Raw genomic sequence first — 18,820 nt, 5'->3', positions numbered from 1 at the left:
AACATTGTGCTGAGCAAAAGAAGCCAGACAAAAAAATTGCAATAATGTATATTTCAATTTATATGAAATCTAGGAAAGACTTACCAAATCTATAGTAATAGAAAGTGGTTGCCTTGGGCCAGGCTTGGTAGAGGGGGTGACTGGGAAGAGGCCACTGGGAGGATGGGACTCTGCTGTGTGTTGGTGTAGTGACTATGAGGCAGAAGAATAGGGTCTGGAGGCTGGGAACCTGAGGCCGATTTGCACTGACTTCTTAGAACTGGATCAAAAGGAAAACCCCACCTCTTCATGCCCAAATGACAAAGGATCAGAGGCTACTCCCTCTATATCAACCCCTTCTGCTGAAAAATGGAAAGTGCCTCTGATTGGCCACAGGTCAAGCATGGGTCAATCCTTCATTTGCATAATGTACCAATTCACTTTGACCTCTGATTGGCCACAGGCCAAGAGTGGGCTAATCCTTCATTTGCATAAGGCTCCAATCTATTTCAGCCTCTGATTGGCCATGAGCCAAACCTTCACTTCAATCCCTCATTTACATAAAGTTTACCCAATGGAAAACCTCTAGAGGGCACTTAAACCCCAGAGAATTTTGTAACCAGAGCTCTTGTGCCCTTGCTTGAGCACCCCCGATCCTGTGGAGTGTACGTTGGCCTTTTTAAGTCTATGCTTCTGTTGTCTTTTGCTTTAGTAAATCTATGCTTTCGTTGTTCATGTGTGCTGTTCAAGTCTTTGTTCAATGTGCCAAGAACCTAGACGACTCATCATCAGGACCCTCCATCTGGTCACAACTGTACCAGTTTATATTGGCCAGAATTCGCTGAAGTATAAACGAAGTATATTTTCTTATTCGTGAATTAGACTTCAATAGTTACTTTAAAAAATAGAAACACACCTGGCTTAGGGGGAAGATGATGGTAGGTACAACAAGGTACCATGAGGAAGCAAAACTGTTGGTGACACTGGGGTCCTGTGGTATCCACAGGGTTAAAGGAAAATACATCTTGGGGCCCCCACATCACTAAGCTAAAGAGAAAAGTTAAGCTGGGAACTGCTTAGGGCCAACCTGCCTCCCATTCTATTCAAAGTTACCCCTCTGCTCACTGAGATAAATGCATATCTGATTGTCTCCTTTGGAGAGGCTACTCAGAAACTCAAAACAATGCAACCATTTGTCTCTTTTCCACCGTGACTGGAAGCCCCCTCCCTGCTTCGTTCTGCCTCTGCTTTGAGTTGTCCCACTTTTCTGGACCGAAGCAGTATTCATCTTACATATGTTGATTGACGTTTCATGTCTCCCTAAAATGCGTAAAAGCAACCTGACCACCTTGGGCACATGCTGTTGGGACCTCCTGAGGTTGTGTCATGGGTGTGCATCCTCAACCTGGGTAAAATAAACTTTCTAAATTAACTGAGACCTGTCTCAGATTTTCAGGGTTCCCAACAGTAAGGGTTTTCTCCTTCTCTCTAACTTCTTCCACCAGCCGGAATTACGTGGACATAGCGGCAGCTCCCCATGCCGGTCCAGCCATCCTTGTTCCATGCCACTCTACGTATGGAGGTGACATTATCCAAGGCTAATTAGCTTTGCTTTTTCTACTTATAATGTGATCTATAGTAAATTAAACAGTAATACTTTGATTGGGTAAAATAAGTGGCATTTTACCCGTATTATCACTTAAAGACATGAAAATTGTTACACAGTGATATTTTCACCCCTCAGTCTTCTTAAGGTGATTTAATATCTATTTCCTTCAAAAGATTTATTCCACAAAAATGGCAACATATCATTTAATTATAATAAAATACTCACTGAAGAAGGCATTATAACTACACCTCATCCAAGAGAAGCTATAGGCTGAAGAGTATATATACTAATTAACTTTATAAACTTGATAAATATCAAATGAAGTGAAACTTAGATACAGAACTTTTGTTCCAATTACTGTTTTAACTCACCAAATTTATCAGATTCTGTAGCAATAACCAGGGAAATTTATTGTTTTGGAAATGTGTCACTTGAATCTGATTTTATTGTTTTCTTTCTGTTTTGCTATCAGAAAGACTGATTACCATCTACACCCAAAATGAAAGCTGGCTAAAACATTCATTTAAGGGCTATACTATATCCAGCATGGAAAGTACATATTAGTTACCAAAAATATCCATTTATTTTTACCAGAAAAGCCTAAATAACTATGCTAAACAAGGAAGAGAAAAATATCAAATAATAGTTTATTGTCTTGTATATTTACTCAGGACTTTAAGATCTGCATTTGAAAGTCCCCTCTTTATCAGTTAAAAGGCATCTTGAATTGCCTCCAGCAGATATTTTTACAAAACAACAAATTGAATTCCAGAGAACTGAAAAAAAAAGGAAGGAAAACACAAGGTGTGTTTATTGTCTTTAATAACATTTTGAGGACGACCTCTACCCAAACCCTAAAATCCTACATGACTGAAAAAAGGGTGATAACCTGAAAGTTTTTTTTTTTATCTTCAAATTTCTGCTTGCAGGTAAGAATAAAGCTTTGAATAACTACGTGGTCATTGGGCGTTTGGGAAGTCTAGTTCTGGTTACAGAATATGGATCATGGGTATTGTGGTGGTTAGGAATTGGGAACTCAGCCACTAAGAAAACTGGTTTTCACAGCAGAAAATTAATAAAACATCTCTGGGGTTCAAGAGAGAATCCATGTTTCAGAATAGTTTCAGTAAGTCCAAATATGGTCAAAGTCGCTGAAGAAAGAAGAAAGAAACTGTAAACCAAAAATAAAACTTGAAGGTCCCTCAATCTTCTCAGTGGACTTCCTCCTGAGCCAGGGTGCTCTAAAATGTAACCTGGAAGACTGGTTCAGCCCATGAAGGGAAGTGGGGCCAGGCAGGCCTCCTTACACCCTCCAGCATTAACATCAACACAGACCTTAAAGTCTAATGAGAAACACTTAGAATCCATTCTCCAGGACACCTGCTACCTGGACGCCTGTCTGCAGGAAAACGCTTTGGTCTCCCCCACCTCTTATGGCAATCCAGACATTTCCTTTCTATTGATCTCAGGTCTTTAAGTAAACTCAACCAATTGTTAACCAGAAAATTTTAAAACCTACCTATAACCTATCCCATGCTTCTGAACTGAACCAATGCATTTTTAAAATGTATTTGGTTGAAGTCTCATGTCTTTCTAAAATGTATAAAACTAGGCTGTGCCCCACCACCTTGGGGACATGTTCTCAGGACCTCCTAGGGGCTGTGTCACAGGCCACAGTCACTCATCTTTGGCTCAGAATAAATCTCTTCCAATATTTTACAGAGTTTGACTCTTATCAACAAAACCAATATTCACTGCTATCTGCCAGAGCAGGCCTGTGCTAGAAGGTTGCTGTCATTTAATCTCCACATTCTTCTGCTAAGGCCATTATTATCCCAACTTCACACATGAGGTGACCTGGGTTGAAACCCACATCTCTGATTCCCAAATCCTTGCTGTTTCCATGGCGCCAAGTTGCCAGTGAGAGGACATACAGCAAGATTGTCTGCTTGGGGCTCCTCATGCTCACGCTTTCTGGGATCGAACTTTGACTCAACATGTGTGAGTGGTTCCAATCGTGGTGAAGGTAGTTAGTGGGGAATCACATGGGTCACCATGAACTTTGGGTTCGTTTATCTCGTTTGGAAGGAATTCCTTAGAACCAAAAGAACTTCAGGCTGTGTAGAAGCAGTTACCTCCAAAGGTAGCATGTTATCTTTAAGCCTTTGACAACTTTTATTTTTATTTCTGCTTGTTTGAGGAAAGCTACACAATCACTTTTATCCTGAGCGTATTGACGCAGGAGACAGCCCGGGGAACTCGCAGCGTCCCTGGAAAGCCATGGAACATGTAAAAATAAATAAGTCAAACATGACTACAGCTTAAAATACCTTGATAGAAATAGCACATTCCACTTACTCTGTGCTTAAGTTGAAATCTTTTCACACATAGCTTAGTCATAAATGTCTTAGAGCTTATAAGAATAGCCTTTTGGAATAGTCATTATTTTTACGTCAAATGGCTTGCCTGAGAATTTTTATATTCAATGAGGGAACTGAGACCATGCGCTTCACTTGCTTGCAAACAGTGTTTCAATTCATGACCTAAGAGATTACATCTCATAGGAACTTGGTGCAGTTGAGCCAACTGAAAACCAATGATTACTAAAAATAACGTCTCGCTCCTCTTGTTCCTTAACTGGAAATTCTTCCATTGAGATCTGAGCAATTTCTTCAAATAACTGGTGGGTTAATAACTGAGAATGCTGCACCACTTGGGGGATGTCTAGGAAGGATGGTGGGCATCAGGGATGGTTTTTGCACCTCTCTATCTTGCTAACAAAGAAAAATGCAAACTTTGATGTTTTTTGTGTGTCCATGGTTCTTACTACAAACTCTTCTCCTTGGCAGCCACCTTTCTCCTGCTGCACCGTTCTTCCTTCACCATCCTCACATTCCTCTCCTCTGTCTACTGTCTTGGTAACATCTGCTACCATATCTTCTGTTCTTTTATTCTTGCTTCCTTTTTTTTGTCTTACTTTGGATTAAGATTTTTTTTTTTTTAAGATTTCATTTTAACTCCTCTGTCAAGGAAGAGTCAAACTCTGTGAAATATTTGAAGAGATTTATTCTGGGCCAAATATGAGTGACCATGACCCATGACCCTCAGGAGGTCCTGAGAACATGTGCCCAAGGTGGTTGGGGTACAGCTTGGTTTTATACATTTTAGGGAGACACAAGATTTCAAATACGTTGGTTTGGTCCAGAAAGGTGGGACAACTTAAAGGGGGGCTTCTAGCTTATAGGTAGATTTGAAAATGTTCTGGTTAACAATTGGTTGAGTTTATCTAAAGACCTAGGTTCAATAGAAAGGAATGTCTGGGTGAAGATAAAGGATTGTGGAAACCAAAGTTCTTATTTGCAAAGGAAGACTTCGGGTGGGAGGCTTCAGAGAGAATAGGTTGTAAAATGTGTTTTATCTGTGTTGATGTTAATGAGGGAGGAGAAAAGGAAAAATTAATTGAGCAGACAGCTAAATCTGGTCTTTGGTAAAATTCTTTCAAACAGAAAGGCAGGCTGAAAAAGCACGGCTACAGGCACAGAGAGAGCAGCATGGGGAGAACTTGGGCTGCAGCTGCACAGATAATGGAGCAAGGCCCAGCATAGAAGCCTTTGTTGTTTGGGTAATACACAGGCTCCTGGGAAAGTTTCCTCCCCTTTTCAGGCATGTGCATGGTGGGGTCCATGGGAACTTGCACAGGGAGGAGGGCTTACCTAAAACATACCTGCAGTTCCACAAACAAGAGAAGCTGCACTTTGTGCTTACCTAAGACACACCCGCAGCTGCACGGATAAAGAGAGTTACATGGACAACCACTGCACGGACAAGGGAAGTTACACAAACAGCTACAGAGATGAGGGAAGCTTTTTCTTACAAATGCTTTTGGATTAATCTGTAAAAAGAGCAATCCTCTTTCAGGCCCCCTCTCTGCTGTGGAGAACTTTCTTCATTCACTTATTGAAATTTCTCTCCAACATCACCCTTGTGTCCACGCTCCTTAATTTTCTTGGTCAGGAGACAAAGAACTCTGGGTACTACCTCAGACAACAAGACTGAAACGTTGTGGTGCATTGGCAAGAAGGCAGCATTAACGCCAGAGAAGTACAGTGAGGGCTGTCTGACCCCCACTTCCCTGAATCAGCCTTTCAGGTTAAATTTTAAGAATGCCCTGGCTGAGAGCACAGTGGCTCATGCCTGTAATCCCAGCACTTTGGGGGGCCGAGGCGGGCAGATCACCTGAGGTCAGGAGTTCGAGACCAGCCTGGCCAACATGGTGAAACCCCATCTCTACTAAAAATACAAAAAATAGCCGGGAATGGTGGCAGGTGCCTGTAGTTCCAGCTACTTGGGAAACTGAGGCAGGATAATCACTTGAACCCAGGAGGTGGAGGTTGCAGTGAGCCGAGATTGTGCCACTGGACTCCAGCCAGGGTGGGGAAAGCAAGACTCTGTCTCAAAAAAAAGAGTGCCCTGGCCGAGAAGGAAGTCCATTCAGATCGTTGGTGGGGCCTTAGGATTTTTTAATTTACACCTCTATCGTGTTTGTATAACTATAAATCTTTACATTATATTTTAGTATTACTATAGGGTTTATAAATATGCATCGCTAATTTAATAAAATTTACTTGAACTAATCTATCGCTTTGTGTATAATGTAAAATCCTTCCAATGGTAAAATGCCATTTATCTCCTTTCAACCTTTGTGTTACTGTAGATTATATCTCTTAAATCAACATACGTTATAGGTCCTACTATGCATTATATTACTTTAAAGAATTAGTTAGCTTTTAAAGATATTTAGTTAAAAAAAAGTCACTTATACTGATCCGGATTTTTACAATTTCCAACAGTTTTATAAATCAAAATTTCCATTTCCCTTCAGACTGAAAAACCTTCTTTAGCAATTCTAGTGTGGTAAATTTGCCAACACATTCTTTCAGCTTTTGATCATCTGAAAATATCTTTATTCTGCCTTTATTTTTAAAGAATATTTTCATCATATGTGGACATCAAGATTAGCATATTTTGTTTCTATCACTTAAAAGACATCATTCCATTTTTTGTGCCTTCTGTTGTTTCTAATGAAACAAATTCATAATTGTTCTACACTATGAAATGTCTTTCTATCTGCTTGCCTCCAGAATTTTTAATAAACTTTAAACTTCATAAATAGTTTTATGCTTGCAGTTTTAGATTTTCAGAAAAACTGCAAAGGTAATTCAGAGTTTTTATAACCCATCTGTCCATTCTTTTTTTTTTCTTTTCTGAGACAAAGTCTCACTCTGTCACCCAGGCTGGGGTCCAGTGGCAAGATCTTGGCTCACTGCAACCTCTGCCTCCTGGTTTCAAGCAATTGTCCTGTCTCAGCCTCCCAAGTAGCTGGGACTACAGGTGCACACCACCACACCCGGCTAATTTTTGTATTTTTAGTACAGACAGCTTTCACCATATTGGTCAGGCTGGTCTTGAACTCCTGACCTCAGGTGATCTACCTGCCTCAGCCTCCCAAATTGCTGGGATTACAGGCGTGAGCCCTGCACCAGGCCCCCATCTGTTTATTCTAATCCATTTATCATCTTAAATCACATCCAGCCACATGACCAACTTAGCACACTCCAGGGGTAACAGCTTATGTCAGTGTAGCCCATTTGTCACAATGGATGGACACTGTTGGTGCAGTCTGACCAACTAAAGTCCACACTCTGACCTCCTTCATTTTCACCCGACATCCCTTTCTCTTTCAGGGTTTCATCTGGAGCCTCTCTGGTGGGTAGTGCCTCCTTGGCTCACTCTTGCCTGTGAGTTTCTCAGACTTTGCTTGATCCTGGTGACCCTGGCAGTTCTGAAGAGCACTTGTCAGGTATTTGTAGGACTTCCCTCTACTGGGATTTGCCTGGCGTTTTCCTTGGGGTTAGACTAAAGTCTAATTGCTGCCACCTCTGAGACAGCAAATCCAGCCCCCCTCCTCCTCTGCATGCCCCATGTGAAGACCATGAGGATGGAGACCTGTATGATGATCCATCCCCACTTAATGAATAGCAAATACATCTTCTCTTCCTTACAGTTTTCTTAATCACATTTTCTTTTCTCTAGTTACTTTAAGAATACAGCATATAACACACATACAAAATATAAACATATAAACACAGATAAAATATGTGTTAATTGACTATGCTATTGTTGAGATTTCGGGTCAACAGCAGGCCATGAGTAGTAAGTTTTGGGGGAGTCAAGGTTATGCATGAGTTTTGACTATAAGAGGGGTTGGCACCCCTAACCCTGCCTTGCTCAAGGGTGAGCTGTTCGCACCATCCTGAGAGTGTCTGGCATGGGACGTGAGGTGCTGACATGTTAGCTGTTGCTGTTAGTATGAACAGATCGCACCTGCAGTACATCTCAGGTTCAAGGTGATCTGGGAGCAGAGTCCCTTCAGCTTGATCTCCTGCCTGGGCATCTCTCACCCCAAGCCTGCCTCATTTGTGTGCACACATCAGCAGGTGCACAGTGGTGTCATAGCCAGGAAAGCAGAGGTTCGTCCAGAAGGCAGAGGTGGCCCTGTGTCCTGTTTGCTGAATGTACTTGGAGTTAGAAAGATGGACAGCCAGGGCAACCCCTGCCCCCCCTTCAGGGGAGTGTCAGTCAAATCCTGCCTTTACCTTTATGATTGGGTTTTTCTATATTTGTTATTACTCTATTTCCCCCCCATTTCCAGCCCTGAAGCTTTTATAAATGCTTTTACAATGCTGTCTTTGAAAGCTGTAGGGTTCACTTTGGGGACACATTTCCTATAAAAATGTTAGCCATGCGGATTGGGGTAGCGTGAAGATGATGTTACAATTCAGCGTTCCAGCAGACCCTTGAGTTTCCGAATCCTCATTTAACCGAGCCTCCTGTTTTCCCCATGGGGTCTCAGAAGGAGTTGGAACAAACCCAGAGGGAAAATCAAGCAAAACTCTGCTTTACTTTGGATGGGCTGGGTAAGAGATCACAGTAGCCTCAGACCCCGTGTTTCGTGACTTGCCGGGCCATGCAGAGGACACCACTTTGTTTTCTGCTCTAGGACGGTCTGAGCATTTCCAGATCAAATCAGGCACTAGGGATCATTCCTATATATTTCCCTTTGATGCCCATATCTTACTGTCAGCAGGCATCCATTTGACGGCACAGAAGACGGATGTGACAGGACCCTGGCTCACAAAGAGCTGCTCAGGCCCAGGCTCTGCAGCAGGGCTGTGCCCAAAGCCCCAGCTCCTCCCCGTTGTCCACATGGCTGGGCCCTGCATGGGAGGAAAGAGGGGGCATGAAGACAAACAGCGAGGAAATTGGGGTTTCGGAGGGCAGGCCTGCCCAGAATGCATTCCTATAAATTCTGAAGGAAGAGGGTGGGAGAGACCCACCATTCTGCTTTACATATGCAAGGAATACGTGAGGAGCCTGAATTCCTAGGAAAGGTGAGACATCGGGGCAGATACCGGCCCATTCGCCATGCTCCTTTCTCGCTGTGGGTGAAGAGAAGACGGTGATGGACACTCTGGCTTCCGCTGCAGGAGCTCCACAGCCAGGGAACCCCTCTGCTCCCTTCGCCGTGTGAAATCGCATCTAGCTCCTCCACCGCAGAGGCACCGGGGCAGCACTGGAAACACAGCCCGAGGGTAACTCAAAAACCCAGGGCCGCTTTCATATACGCCTGAGGTTTACAACCACCCTGTAAAATGCAGGGGGTGGCTCCTTCCACTGAAGTTACTTATTCCTACAGATGAGTCAAAACGGCACTGAAACAACATATCTTCCCTTCTTTCGTTCCCCTGAAAAAAATCCCAAACCATGGTCCTTTTCCCACTTACTCTGCTTATCCTCCCAAGCCAGGAGCTGAAATGGCCCTTTTTTCAAGCCTGATTTGCTTAATCTTCAATTTTAGCCCATGGAGTCATTCATGGGAGCTGATGCAACCACATCAACACCCCCTGAGCCGGGGTTTTTCAACCACAGCACCCCAACATTCTTTGTGTCTCCCCAGTTCTAGGAGCAGTCAGTGCAGATAGGAGCAGCACAGCAATGACACCACACCCACAAAACCGGGCAAACATAATGAATAAGAGAACTAAAAGTGAACGCGGCAGCAGCTTTACATCTCAGTGCCAATTTGAGATTGGTATTGCCATCGAGAGTCAGCAGCCTCGCCCGGACGCTCCGCCGTGCCCACTGTGCTATGAAACCGCCTGAGTCATCGCTTTCCTCCCTGCCATTTTACGTAATAGTTATTTCAAATATCCTCCAGCATCCTCACACCACCACAGGGTTCCCTGCCTCGGGAAACAGAAAAAACACAGAAGCCACATGCAAATTTCTTTTACATTTTATATTAAAGCCTAAAAAGTTACTTAGATTTTTTTTTTTTGGTCTTCCCTCCTTCCTTTAGGTTGATCCCACCCTGTGCCTCCCGAGCTCCCTTCCTTTCGCCTCAGACCTTTGGTTCATTCAGTTGTGATCTGTCTTTCTCCTCTCAACCTCTTCATTTCTAACAACTTCTCGTCAGCACTGTGATGGTTAACACTGAGTGTCAACTGGATTGGATTGAAGGATGCAAAGTACTGTTCCCGGGTGTGTCTTTGAGCGTGTCGCCAAAGGAGATTCACATTTGAGCAGTGGGCTGAGAGAGGCAGACCCACCCTCAATCTGGGTGGGCACCATCTGATCAGCTGCCAGCATGGTCAGAATTAAAGCAGGCAGAAGAACGTGAACAAACTAGACTGGCTGAGCCTCTGACCCTGCGTCTTTCTCCCGCGCTGGATGCTTCCTGCCCTCAAACATCGGACTCCAAGTTCTTCAGCTTTGGGGCCCAAACTGGCTCCCTTGCTCCTCAGCTTGCAGATGGCCTACTGTGGGGCCTCACCTTGTGATTGTATGTGTCAGTTCTCTTAATAATCACCCCTTTATGTATACATCTACCCTATTAGTTCTGTCCCTCTAGAGAACCCTGACTAATACAGACACTAAGCGTGTTCAAGCGCATCCATCCATAAGAACACCTCCCCTGATCTTACCTCTCTTCTTAGTTACCACTCAACACACCACTCTCCTCCATACCATAGGAAGTTTGCGTAGGTTTTCAGCATCCACTGATTCTCTCCTCCCCCTCCTTCCTTTCGTCTTAACCACACTATTTCACTGAGACTACTCCTGACAGGTTCAGCACTTACTTTCCAACCCCCAAATCCAGTCGGTCCTGTGCAGGACCCATTGCTATAATCACTCCCAGGTTTCCAGTTAATCAATGTTTGTTGAGTGTTTATTATGTGCCAGCCACTGTTCTGTGTTCTGAGGGTGCAGTGAGCAACACAGACAAAAACGTTGATCTCATTGAGGGATGCTGGATTAAAAACCGGAGAACAGGGGCAGATTTGTTAACGACAAGCATCAAGGGAAATGGTAAAGAAGAGATAGGACATACAAACCATCGAGAAAAGATACTGAAGATTTAAATAACTGGTCATAGAGAAATCACCGAGATGAGGACATGTGAGTAAAGACAAAAAGAAAACATGCGCTAAGCTGTGCACTTCAACTGGATGAATGTGTGGCAATACAAATAGCTAGCAGCGAATTTACAGTTTATCAACAGAGAAATCAAGGGGAGAATCTTGTTTAAGATTAAGAGAACAATCTTGTTTAAGTGAATTTACAGTTTATCAGCAGAGAAATAAGGCAAGAATTTTGTTTAAGAATGAGGGAAATATTGGGCTGGGTGCAGTGCCTCACACCTGTAATCCTGGCACTTTGGGAGGCCAAGGCAGGCAGATCCTTTGAGTCCAGGAGTTCAACACCAGCCTGGGAAATATAGCAAGACCTTGCCTCTACAATAAGAATAAAAAAAATTAGCCAGGCGTGGTAGCACTCACCTATAGTCCCAGATACTTGGGAGGCTGAGGAAGGGGGATTCCTTGAGCCCAGGAGGCAGAGGTTGCAGTGAGTTGAGATTGTGCCACCTCACTCCAGCCTGGGGGATAGAGAGAGACCCAGTCTCAAAAAAAATAAAAATAAAAATAAAAAAAGGGAGATATTGTACAAACTAAACATGTTAATTTTGAGGTTATGACAGGAAATTGAGGAGAAAGTGGAAATTGAGGGATGTAATTGAGGGATAGAAATGCTTGTTCAGGGCCCAGAAAAGACATCCAGGCATGAAGAGTGTGCAGGCACTCCCGGGCCCACCAAGTCTTATCCCAGATCTATTCAGGTATAATCTTTTTTTTTTCTTTTTTCTTTTTCTTTTTTTTTTTTTTTTGACACAGAGTCTCGCTCTGTAACCCAGGCTGGAGTGCAGTGGCGCAATCTCAAATCACTGCAACCTCCGCCTCCTGGGTTCAAGCAATTCTCCTGACTCAGCCTTCCAAATAGCTGGGATTACAGGTGCCTGTCAACACACCTGGTTAATATTTTTTGTTGGTATTTTTAGTAGAGACAGGGTTTCACTATGTTGGTCAGGCTGGTCTCGAACTCCTGACCTCAGGTGATCTGCCCACCTTGGCATCCCAAAGTACTGGGATTACAGGCGAGAGCCACCGCTCCCAGCCCTAATATTCCGGCATAATCAAAATTGCTGCTCTACCCTCAGCATTCAGGAGAACTCAAATTTGACTCCTTCAAATCATCAATTTTTGGTTATTCTATTCATACTTTGTACTTTGAGAGATTTCAATTTATAGTCTGAGACTATAATTGTGTACTTAAAATTTATTGCTGAATTTAGAAGTAATTTAATTTTTGTGAGATGTACAGTCACAGTTACTGACTTAAATAAATTTCATTTCATAAGTCATAATAGTGGAGTTTGTTATTTTAAAATAAAAAATTTGAAAATGTAGAATAATTTACTATGTATAATTTATGTTGCTTATTGAATTTTAAATCTTTTTGCATTTAGTCAAATATACAGTGCTAATTGTATAATCAATTTAAGAAACTGATTTCAAGTTTCATTTCATTTGACCAAATGGGAAGATTTGGTTCAAAGAAAAAAATTTCCAAGGATTTCTCCTCATTAATCATTTCTTATAAAGAGCTTCTTCAAAATGTTAATCGTAACTTAATCAAATACACATGGCTTGATATTCTCAGCAAATGCAGTGGTGAAGGAAAAAGAAATTTTATGCAGAAAATACTTGCCAGAACCTTTCAAAAATAGGCTGAGGTGCATTTTGTTGAAAATGAAAGGCTGCTGGTTTCACCCAGCCTATCAACAGATGTTAGTGGAAGTAGGAGAGCCCCCACGCCAGAAAGGGTCTGACACTGGAGGCAGACTTGGAGGCTCACATAAAAGTGCTTCATAACGTCCGGGAGACGAACACTCCCCGTTGTGGTTACCGTCGAATGGAAACTTCTCGGCTCCAGGCCCTCAGCTGCACGGGGCTGAGGGGTTCCAACCCTGCGAATGCCTCGGGGCGGGTCCAGGAAGACCTTCCCTCCTCTTGCTTGGTCATCTCCAGAGTCACATCCTCCACATTCGTCTCCACCGAGCTCGTCCAGCCCATGGCCCGTGCTCCGCATGCATCCCAGCACGGCTTTGAATGTGGCCCAACACAAATTCATAAACGTCCTTAAAACATGCTGAGATTTTGTTTTGTTTTGTTTTAACTCATCAGTTGTTGTTAGTGTTAGTATATTTCATGTGTGGCCCAAGACGATTCTTCCTCCTCCATTGTGGCCCAGGGAAGCCAAGACTGGACACCCTGGTGTAAACCTCATCCACGAAATAGATACACATATAGTACTTTTATCTATTAAACACAACTGCACTTTATGACATGTGGAGTGCCGAGTGCGGTATGGCCTCCGGAGCGGGGCTCTCGGGACCTAGTGAATGCATCTTCAAGTCCTGCCGGGCCTCAGCTTGCTTTCTGTGAGGCCTGTGATCTTGAACAGCCCGTGCCATAGGCAGGTCCCGTGTGGTGGATCCGCAGTACTCACTCATGAGCGTACTTCCTGTTCCTCCGCACGAGGGACCGGTGTAGTGGGAAGCACCCAGCTCTGGAAACACAGGGATCTTCCTTAGCATCTTGACGTCAGCGTTCCTGCAGGCATTTTCTTGGCCTGTGTAGCCGAGGTTCCATGAGTAAAATGGGTGATGTCACCTGCCTTCCCATTTGTTGGCCACTCAGTGTGGCTGCACACCCAGTGTAGAAGAGCGGCTGGTAGGTGGCATGATGCCCTCCAGGCTCCTGGTGACCAGGAGAGGTGAGATGGGAAGCCTGGTTCAGGAGAGGTGAGATGGGACATCTGGTGACGAGGAGAGGTGAGATGGGACGCCTGGTGACCAGGAGAGGTGAGGTGAGATGGGACGCCTGATGACCAGGAGAGGTGAGGTGAGATGGGACGCCTGGTGACCAGGAGAGGTGAGATGAGATAGCACACCTGGTGACCAGGAGAGGTGAGATGGGACACCTGAGATGGGACAGTGGCAGGGCTTATTTTCTGGTCACAACCCTGCTGGCCCAAATAGGACCTGGTCCAGATGTGAAGAAACCACAGGAACCAGGAGGTGGTAAGGAAAGAGATCCCTGGCTGCCGTCATTACTCATTGGCATAAGACACTCCCACCAGTGGCATGACAGTTTACAAATGCCATGGCAATGACCTGGACGTCACCCCTGCTTTCCACAGCCATGATCTGGAAGTTACTGCCCCTTTCCTGGAAAGTTCTGAACAACCTGCCCCTCCATTGGCATTGGCCCGCCCCTAACTTGCATGTAATTAAAAGTGGGTATAAGTGAGTAAAAATACAGGTGCCGGAGCCACACACTGCCTGCCCACGGTCAGCCCTGCTCAGCCAGATGCAGCACCGTGCAGGAATGGTTGCTGTCTAACACCACTGGCTCACTCTTGAATTCTTTCCTGGGTAAAGCCAAGAACCCTGCCGGGCCAAACCCCAGTTTCGGGGCTCATCTGTCCTGCATCACAGGCCCAGGGTAGAGGCTCACCAGGTAGAGCTGAGGCTCACCAGGGCTGCAGGCCATGCCTCAATTCAGCTATATTCAGGGCCTTTTGCTATGGCACTGCAGTGATGGGTCAAATTTTTGTCACAATCCCTGTTTTCTGTTGTAACTGAAATCCAAATGGAATAACAAGAAGTAAGATTTATGGGAAGAGGACCTCGGTAGACAATGAATGTGTCAGGGGCTCTCACTGCACCACTCTCAGCTCCCTCGCCCCCCTGCGCCCCCCACTCCCCTGCTCTGTATTTTGTTAGTGCTTGTTGGGTTTCCCGTGTCAGCTCGGTGCACCAGTGCCCCTGACCGCAGCGGGGCACACAGCAGCTAGAAGCCCAGGAAGCATCTCCTTAGAGTTGGGAGAAGTGTTAGTGGGAGACATCCCCAGAGAGTTAGAGGGGAAATTGAAAGAAGGGCTTCTCCCGGGCTGGCTGTTGTGGAGGGGTGGAGCCTGCGGTCCAAGGCCTCAGCCAGGACCTGCCCTGTGTGCGGGTTGGGAGTGCGTGCAACGCCCTGGGCCCTGGCCATGGGTGCAAGAGATGTGACTCCACGCAAAGAAACTCTCATTTCCCACAGAAGCAGCAAAACATACTGAGCTACAATTATCACCAAGGTGTGTGTGAGCACGAGTGTGTAACTTCACACAGACATCTCTGTCTCCAGATAGGGTTTCTAGACATACCCAAATATGGAAACATTTGAACATAGGTTGATCACCTTAGGTGGTTCGAATCATTAGGGTATTTTAAAACATTAGGATAGGCCGGACGCAGTGGTTCACACCTGTCATCCCAGCACTTTGGGAGGCCAAGGCAAGTGGATCACCTGAGGTCAGGAGTTCAAGACCAGCCTGGCCAACATGGCAAAACCCCGTCTCTACTAAAAATACAAAAACTAGCCAGGCATGGTGGTGAGTGCCTGTAATCCCAGCTACTCAGGAGGCTGAGGCAGGAGAATCACTTCAACCTGGGAGGCAGAGGTTACAGTGAGCTGAGATTGCACCACTGTACTCCAGCCTGCTTAACAGAGCGAGATTCCATCTCAGAAAAATGAAATAAAACATTAGGATAAACAAATCCTCACCCAAATGATGCTAATGGTCTACTCACAACTGAAAATTAGCCAAGAAGAGAGAGAATGTAGGCCAGGCGCAGTGGCTCACATCTTGTAATCCCAGCACTTTGGGAGGCTGAGGTGAGCAAATCACTTGAGGCCAGGAGTTCGAGAACAGCCTGGCCAACATGGCAAAAACCCATCTCTCCAAAAATACAACAATTAGCTGGACGTGGTGGTGTGCGCCTATAATTTCAGTTACTCAGGAGGCTGAGGCAGGAGAACCGCTTCAACCCAACAGGCAGAGGCTGCAGGGAGCCAAGATCGTGCTGCTACACTCCGGCCCGGGCAACAGAGCAAGACTCTGTCTCAAAAAAAAAAAAAAAAAAAAAAAAAAGAAGAAGAAGAAAAGGAAAAACAGAATGAAAAGAAGACAGAATGTAAATCCTTTGCAGATAATTCAGAAATCATGCTTTCAACAAAGAAGCAGATTTGAAGTTCCCTTGTCCTCAGTCATAACCCCTGATTCTCACTGTTAAAGAGCACTTGTTTAAAATGAGATATTCTCGTCCATCTTCATACTCTCCTCTCATTCACTTATGGGTTAAAAATATTTATTAAAGTCCTATTAGGTGCTAAGCACTATTCCAGAATTGGAACATAGCAAGCGATATCATACAGAGGATTTATTCCTTAAGAAACAAGGCTCTGAGTGTCCCAATAGTGATCTCTCAGTGGAATGCCTTTTACATCCTGGAAATACGACTTCACTGTGTGTCCCTGGGGACCCTATCAATAACTCTTTCATTATTTCTTATGTTGCAGTTAACCAAGCGTTTTTATGAGAGCATTAAATTGTTTAAATGTTATCTTCCATGGGACACATAGATTCAAAAGATTATATTCCCACTTAGTTAAACATAGTTTTGTTTTGTAACATTTAAGTCAAGGACAATATCAGATGCTAGGAACACTCGCAGTCACCCTTCTGCTTTGTTTTATCTCTGGAGCCCTCTTCACTTTATAATGCACCATAAAGTGTGCTTATTTATTATATTGGCCATCCATCTTCTCCACTAGAGTGTGGTAGACGGCAGCTAAGGGCAGCTCAGCCCTTCTGCGTCTGTGAATGGGTCTTGTCTTCAAAGGTCAATTCGGGGAGCCCTCTTTCTAAGACAGTGACTAAACTCCTACTGAGGTTGACGTGCTCTGGCGGGGTAAGGGCAGGAGACGTGAAAGCTCAAGTTAGATGGTGGGTTACAAGAACTCAGTGGTCCATTGCCAGGGAGGTCGCCTCATTTTCTGCTTAGTAGATGACTGGGAGCTGCTGGGCGAGAGGTGCGGTCCCAGCGATGCAGGAAGAGCAGCTCAGGGGGTTGGGGGCTGCTCGGGGTGCAGGGACACATGGGGGGCAGGGACACATGGGGGGCAGGGACACATGGGGGGCAGGGGCACATGGGGTGCAGAGGCACACGGGGGGGCAGGGGCACACGGGGGGGCAGGGGCACACGGGGGGGCAGGGGCACGTGGGGGTCAGGGGCACCCGGGGGGCAGGGGCACGTTGGGGGGCAGGGACATGTACAGCTGCCTGTGGACCTGAACCCGCTGAGATGCCGGTGCCTGCCCCTCTGAGGATGAGGCCCCCTCTCCCAAAAGTAACGTTCCTCGGGGTCATGCAGTGAGCATGGGCAAAGAGAACGGACGACAGTTGCATCAGACACAGGAAAGGGCGATTCACACAAAGGTCCCAGCACTGGGAGCCATCCCCTTGCTCTACAGCTGCGAGAGCCTGAGTTCAGGGGAACTGAGTCACAGGCCCCAGGCCCACAGCGGCCCCGTGTGCAGCGCCTGAGTAACGGGCTCCAGGCCCACAGCGCCCCTGTGTGGAGCGCCCCTGTGTGGAGACCTGAGTAACGGGCCCCAGGCCCACAGTGCCCCTGTGTGGAGCGCCCCTGTGTGGAGCACCTGAGTAACTGGCTCCAGGCCCACAGCGCCCCTGTGTGGAGCGCCCCTGTGTGGAGCACCTGAGTAACGGGCTCCAGGCCCACAGCGCCCCTGTGTGGAGCGCCCCTGTGTGGAGCACCTGAGTAACGGGCCACAGGCCCACAGCGTCCCTGTGTGGAGACCTGAGTAACGGGCCCCAGGCCCACAGCGCCCCTGTGTGGAGCGCCCCTGTGTGGAGCACCTGAGTAACGGGCCCCAGGCCCACAGCGTCCCTGTGTGGAGACCTGAGTAACGGGCCCCAGGCCCACAGTGCCCCTGTGTGGAGCGCCCCTGTGTGGAGCACCTGAGTAACGGGCCCCAGGCCCACAGCGCCCCTGTGTGGAGCGCCCCTGTGTGGAGCACCTGAGTAACTGGCTCCAGGCCCACAGCGCCCCTGTGTGGAGCGCCCCTGTGTGGAGCACCTGAGTAACGGGCTCCAGGCCCACAGCGCCCGTGTGGAACGCCCCTGTGTGGAGACCTGAGTAACGGGCCCCAGGCCCACAGCGCCCCTGTGTGGAGCGCCCCTGTGTGGAGCACCTGAGTAAAGGGCTCCAGGCCCACAGCGCCCCTGTGTGGAGTGCCCCTGTGTGGAGCACCTGAGTAACGGGCTCCAGGCCCACAGCGCCCGTGTGGAACGCCCCTGTGTGGAGACCTGAGTAACGGGCCCCAGGCCCACAGCGCCCCTGTGTGGAGCGCCCCTGTGTGGAGCGCCTGAGTAACGGGCTCCAGGCCCACAGCGTCCCTGTGTGGAGACCTGAGTAACGGGCCCCAGGCCCACAGCGCCCCTGTGTGGAGCGCCTGAGTAACGGGCTCCAGGCCCACAGCGTCCCTGTGTGGAGACCTGAGTAACGGGCCCCAGGCCCACAGCGCCCCTGTGTGGAGCGCCTGAGTAACGGGCTCCAGGCCCACAGCGTCCCTGTGTGGAGACCTGAGTAACGGGCCCCAGGCCCACAGCGCCCCTGTGTGGAGCGCCCCTGTGTGGAGCACCTGAGTAACGGGCCCCAGGCCCACAGCGCCCCTGTGTGGAGCGCCCCTGTGTGGAGCGCCCCTGTGTGGAGCACCTGAGTAACGGGCTCCAGGCCCACAGCGCCCCTGTGTGGAGCGCCTGAGTAACGGGCTCCAGGCCCACAACGCCCCTGTGTGGAGCGCCTGAGTAACGGGCTCCAGGCCCACAGCGTCCCCAGTGTGGAGCGACTGGCTCCAAAGGCTT

The 18,820-nt window shown here is 46.8% G+C and overlaps 1 long non-coding RNA gene across 2 annotated transcripts in view, besides 2 other annotated features; it reads right to left on the bottom strand.

Annotated features, from left to right (window-relative positions):
• Window positions 1–18,820, bottom strand: part of LOC105378145 (uncharacterized) — a 59,736-nt gene that overhangs the window by 14,743 nt on the left and 26,173 nt on the right. The window contains exons 4-5 of one of the 2 annotated variants that reach the window (XR_943299.3): window positions 8,727–8,865; window positions 2,268–2,364 (exon numbers count right to left, since the gene is read on the bottom strand). The exons of the other annotated variant lie outside the window; for it this stretch is intronic. This is a non-coding gene — a long non-coding RNA (uncharacterized LOC105378145). Of the gene's footprint in view, window positions 1–2,267; window positions 2,365–8,726; window positions 8,866–18,820 lie in introns of those variants that run through there. 2 annotated transcript variants of the gene reach the window in all.
• Window positions 2,048–2,574: an enhancer, noted in NCBI's record as "NANOG hESC enhancer chr6:169406890-169407416 (GRCh37/hg19 assembly coordinates)". NCBI's record gives its function as "activates a minimal SCP1, AML or CMV promoter by ChIP-STARR-seq in primed H9 embryonic stem cells {active_cell/tissue: H9 hESC(primed)}" and the evidence as "EXISTENCE:reporter gene assay evidence [ECO:0000049][PMID:30033119]".
• Window positions 8,518–9,017: an enhancer, noted in NCBI's record as "H3K4me1 hESC enhancer chr6:169400447-169400946 (GRCh37/hg19 assembly coordinates)". NCBI's record gives its function as "activates a minimal SCP1, AML or CMV promoter by ChIP-STARR-seq in primed H9 embryonic stem cells {active_cell/tissue: H9 hESC(primed)}" and the evidence as "EXISTENCE:reporter gene assay evidence [ECO:0000049][PMID:30033119]".

The sequence above is a fragment of the Homo sapiens genome, chromosome 6 (genome assembly GCF_000001405.40).
Source record: "Homo sapiens chromosome 6, GRCh38.p14 Primary Assembly".
NCBI classification, from domain to species: domain Eukaryota; kingdom Metazoa; phylum Chordata; class Mammalia; order Primates; family Hominidae; genus Homo; species Homo sapiens.
The sequence above is the reverse complement of the archived record's forward strand: the minus strand, read 5'-3'. Positions and strand labels throughout refer to the sequence as shown.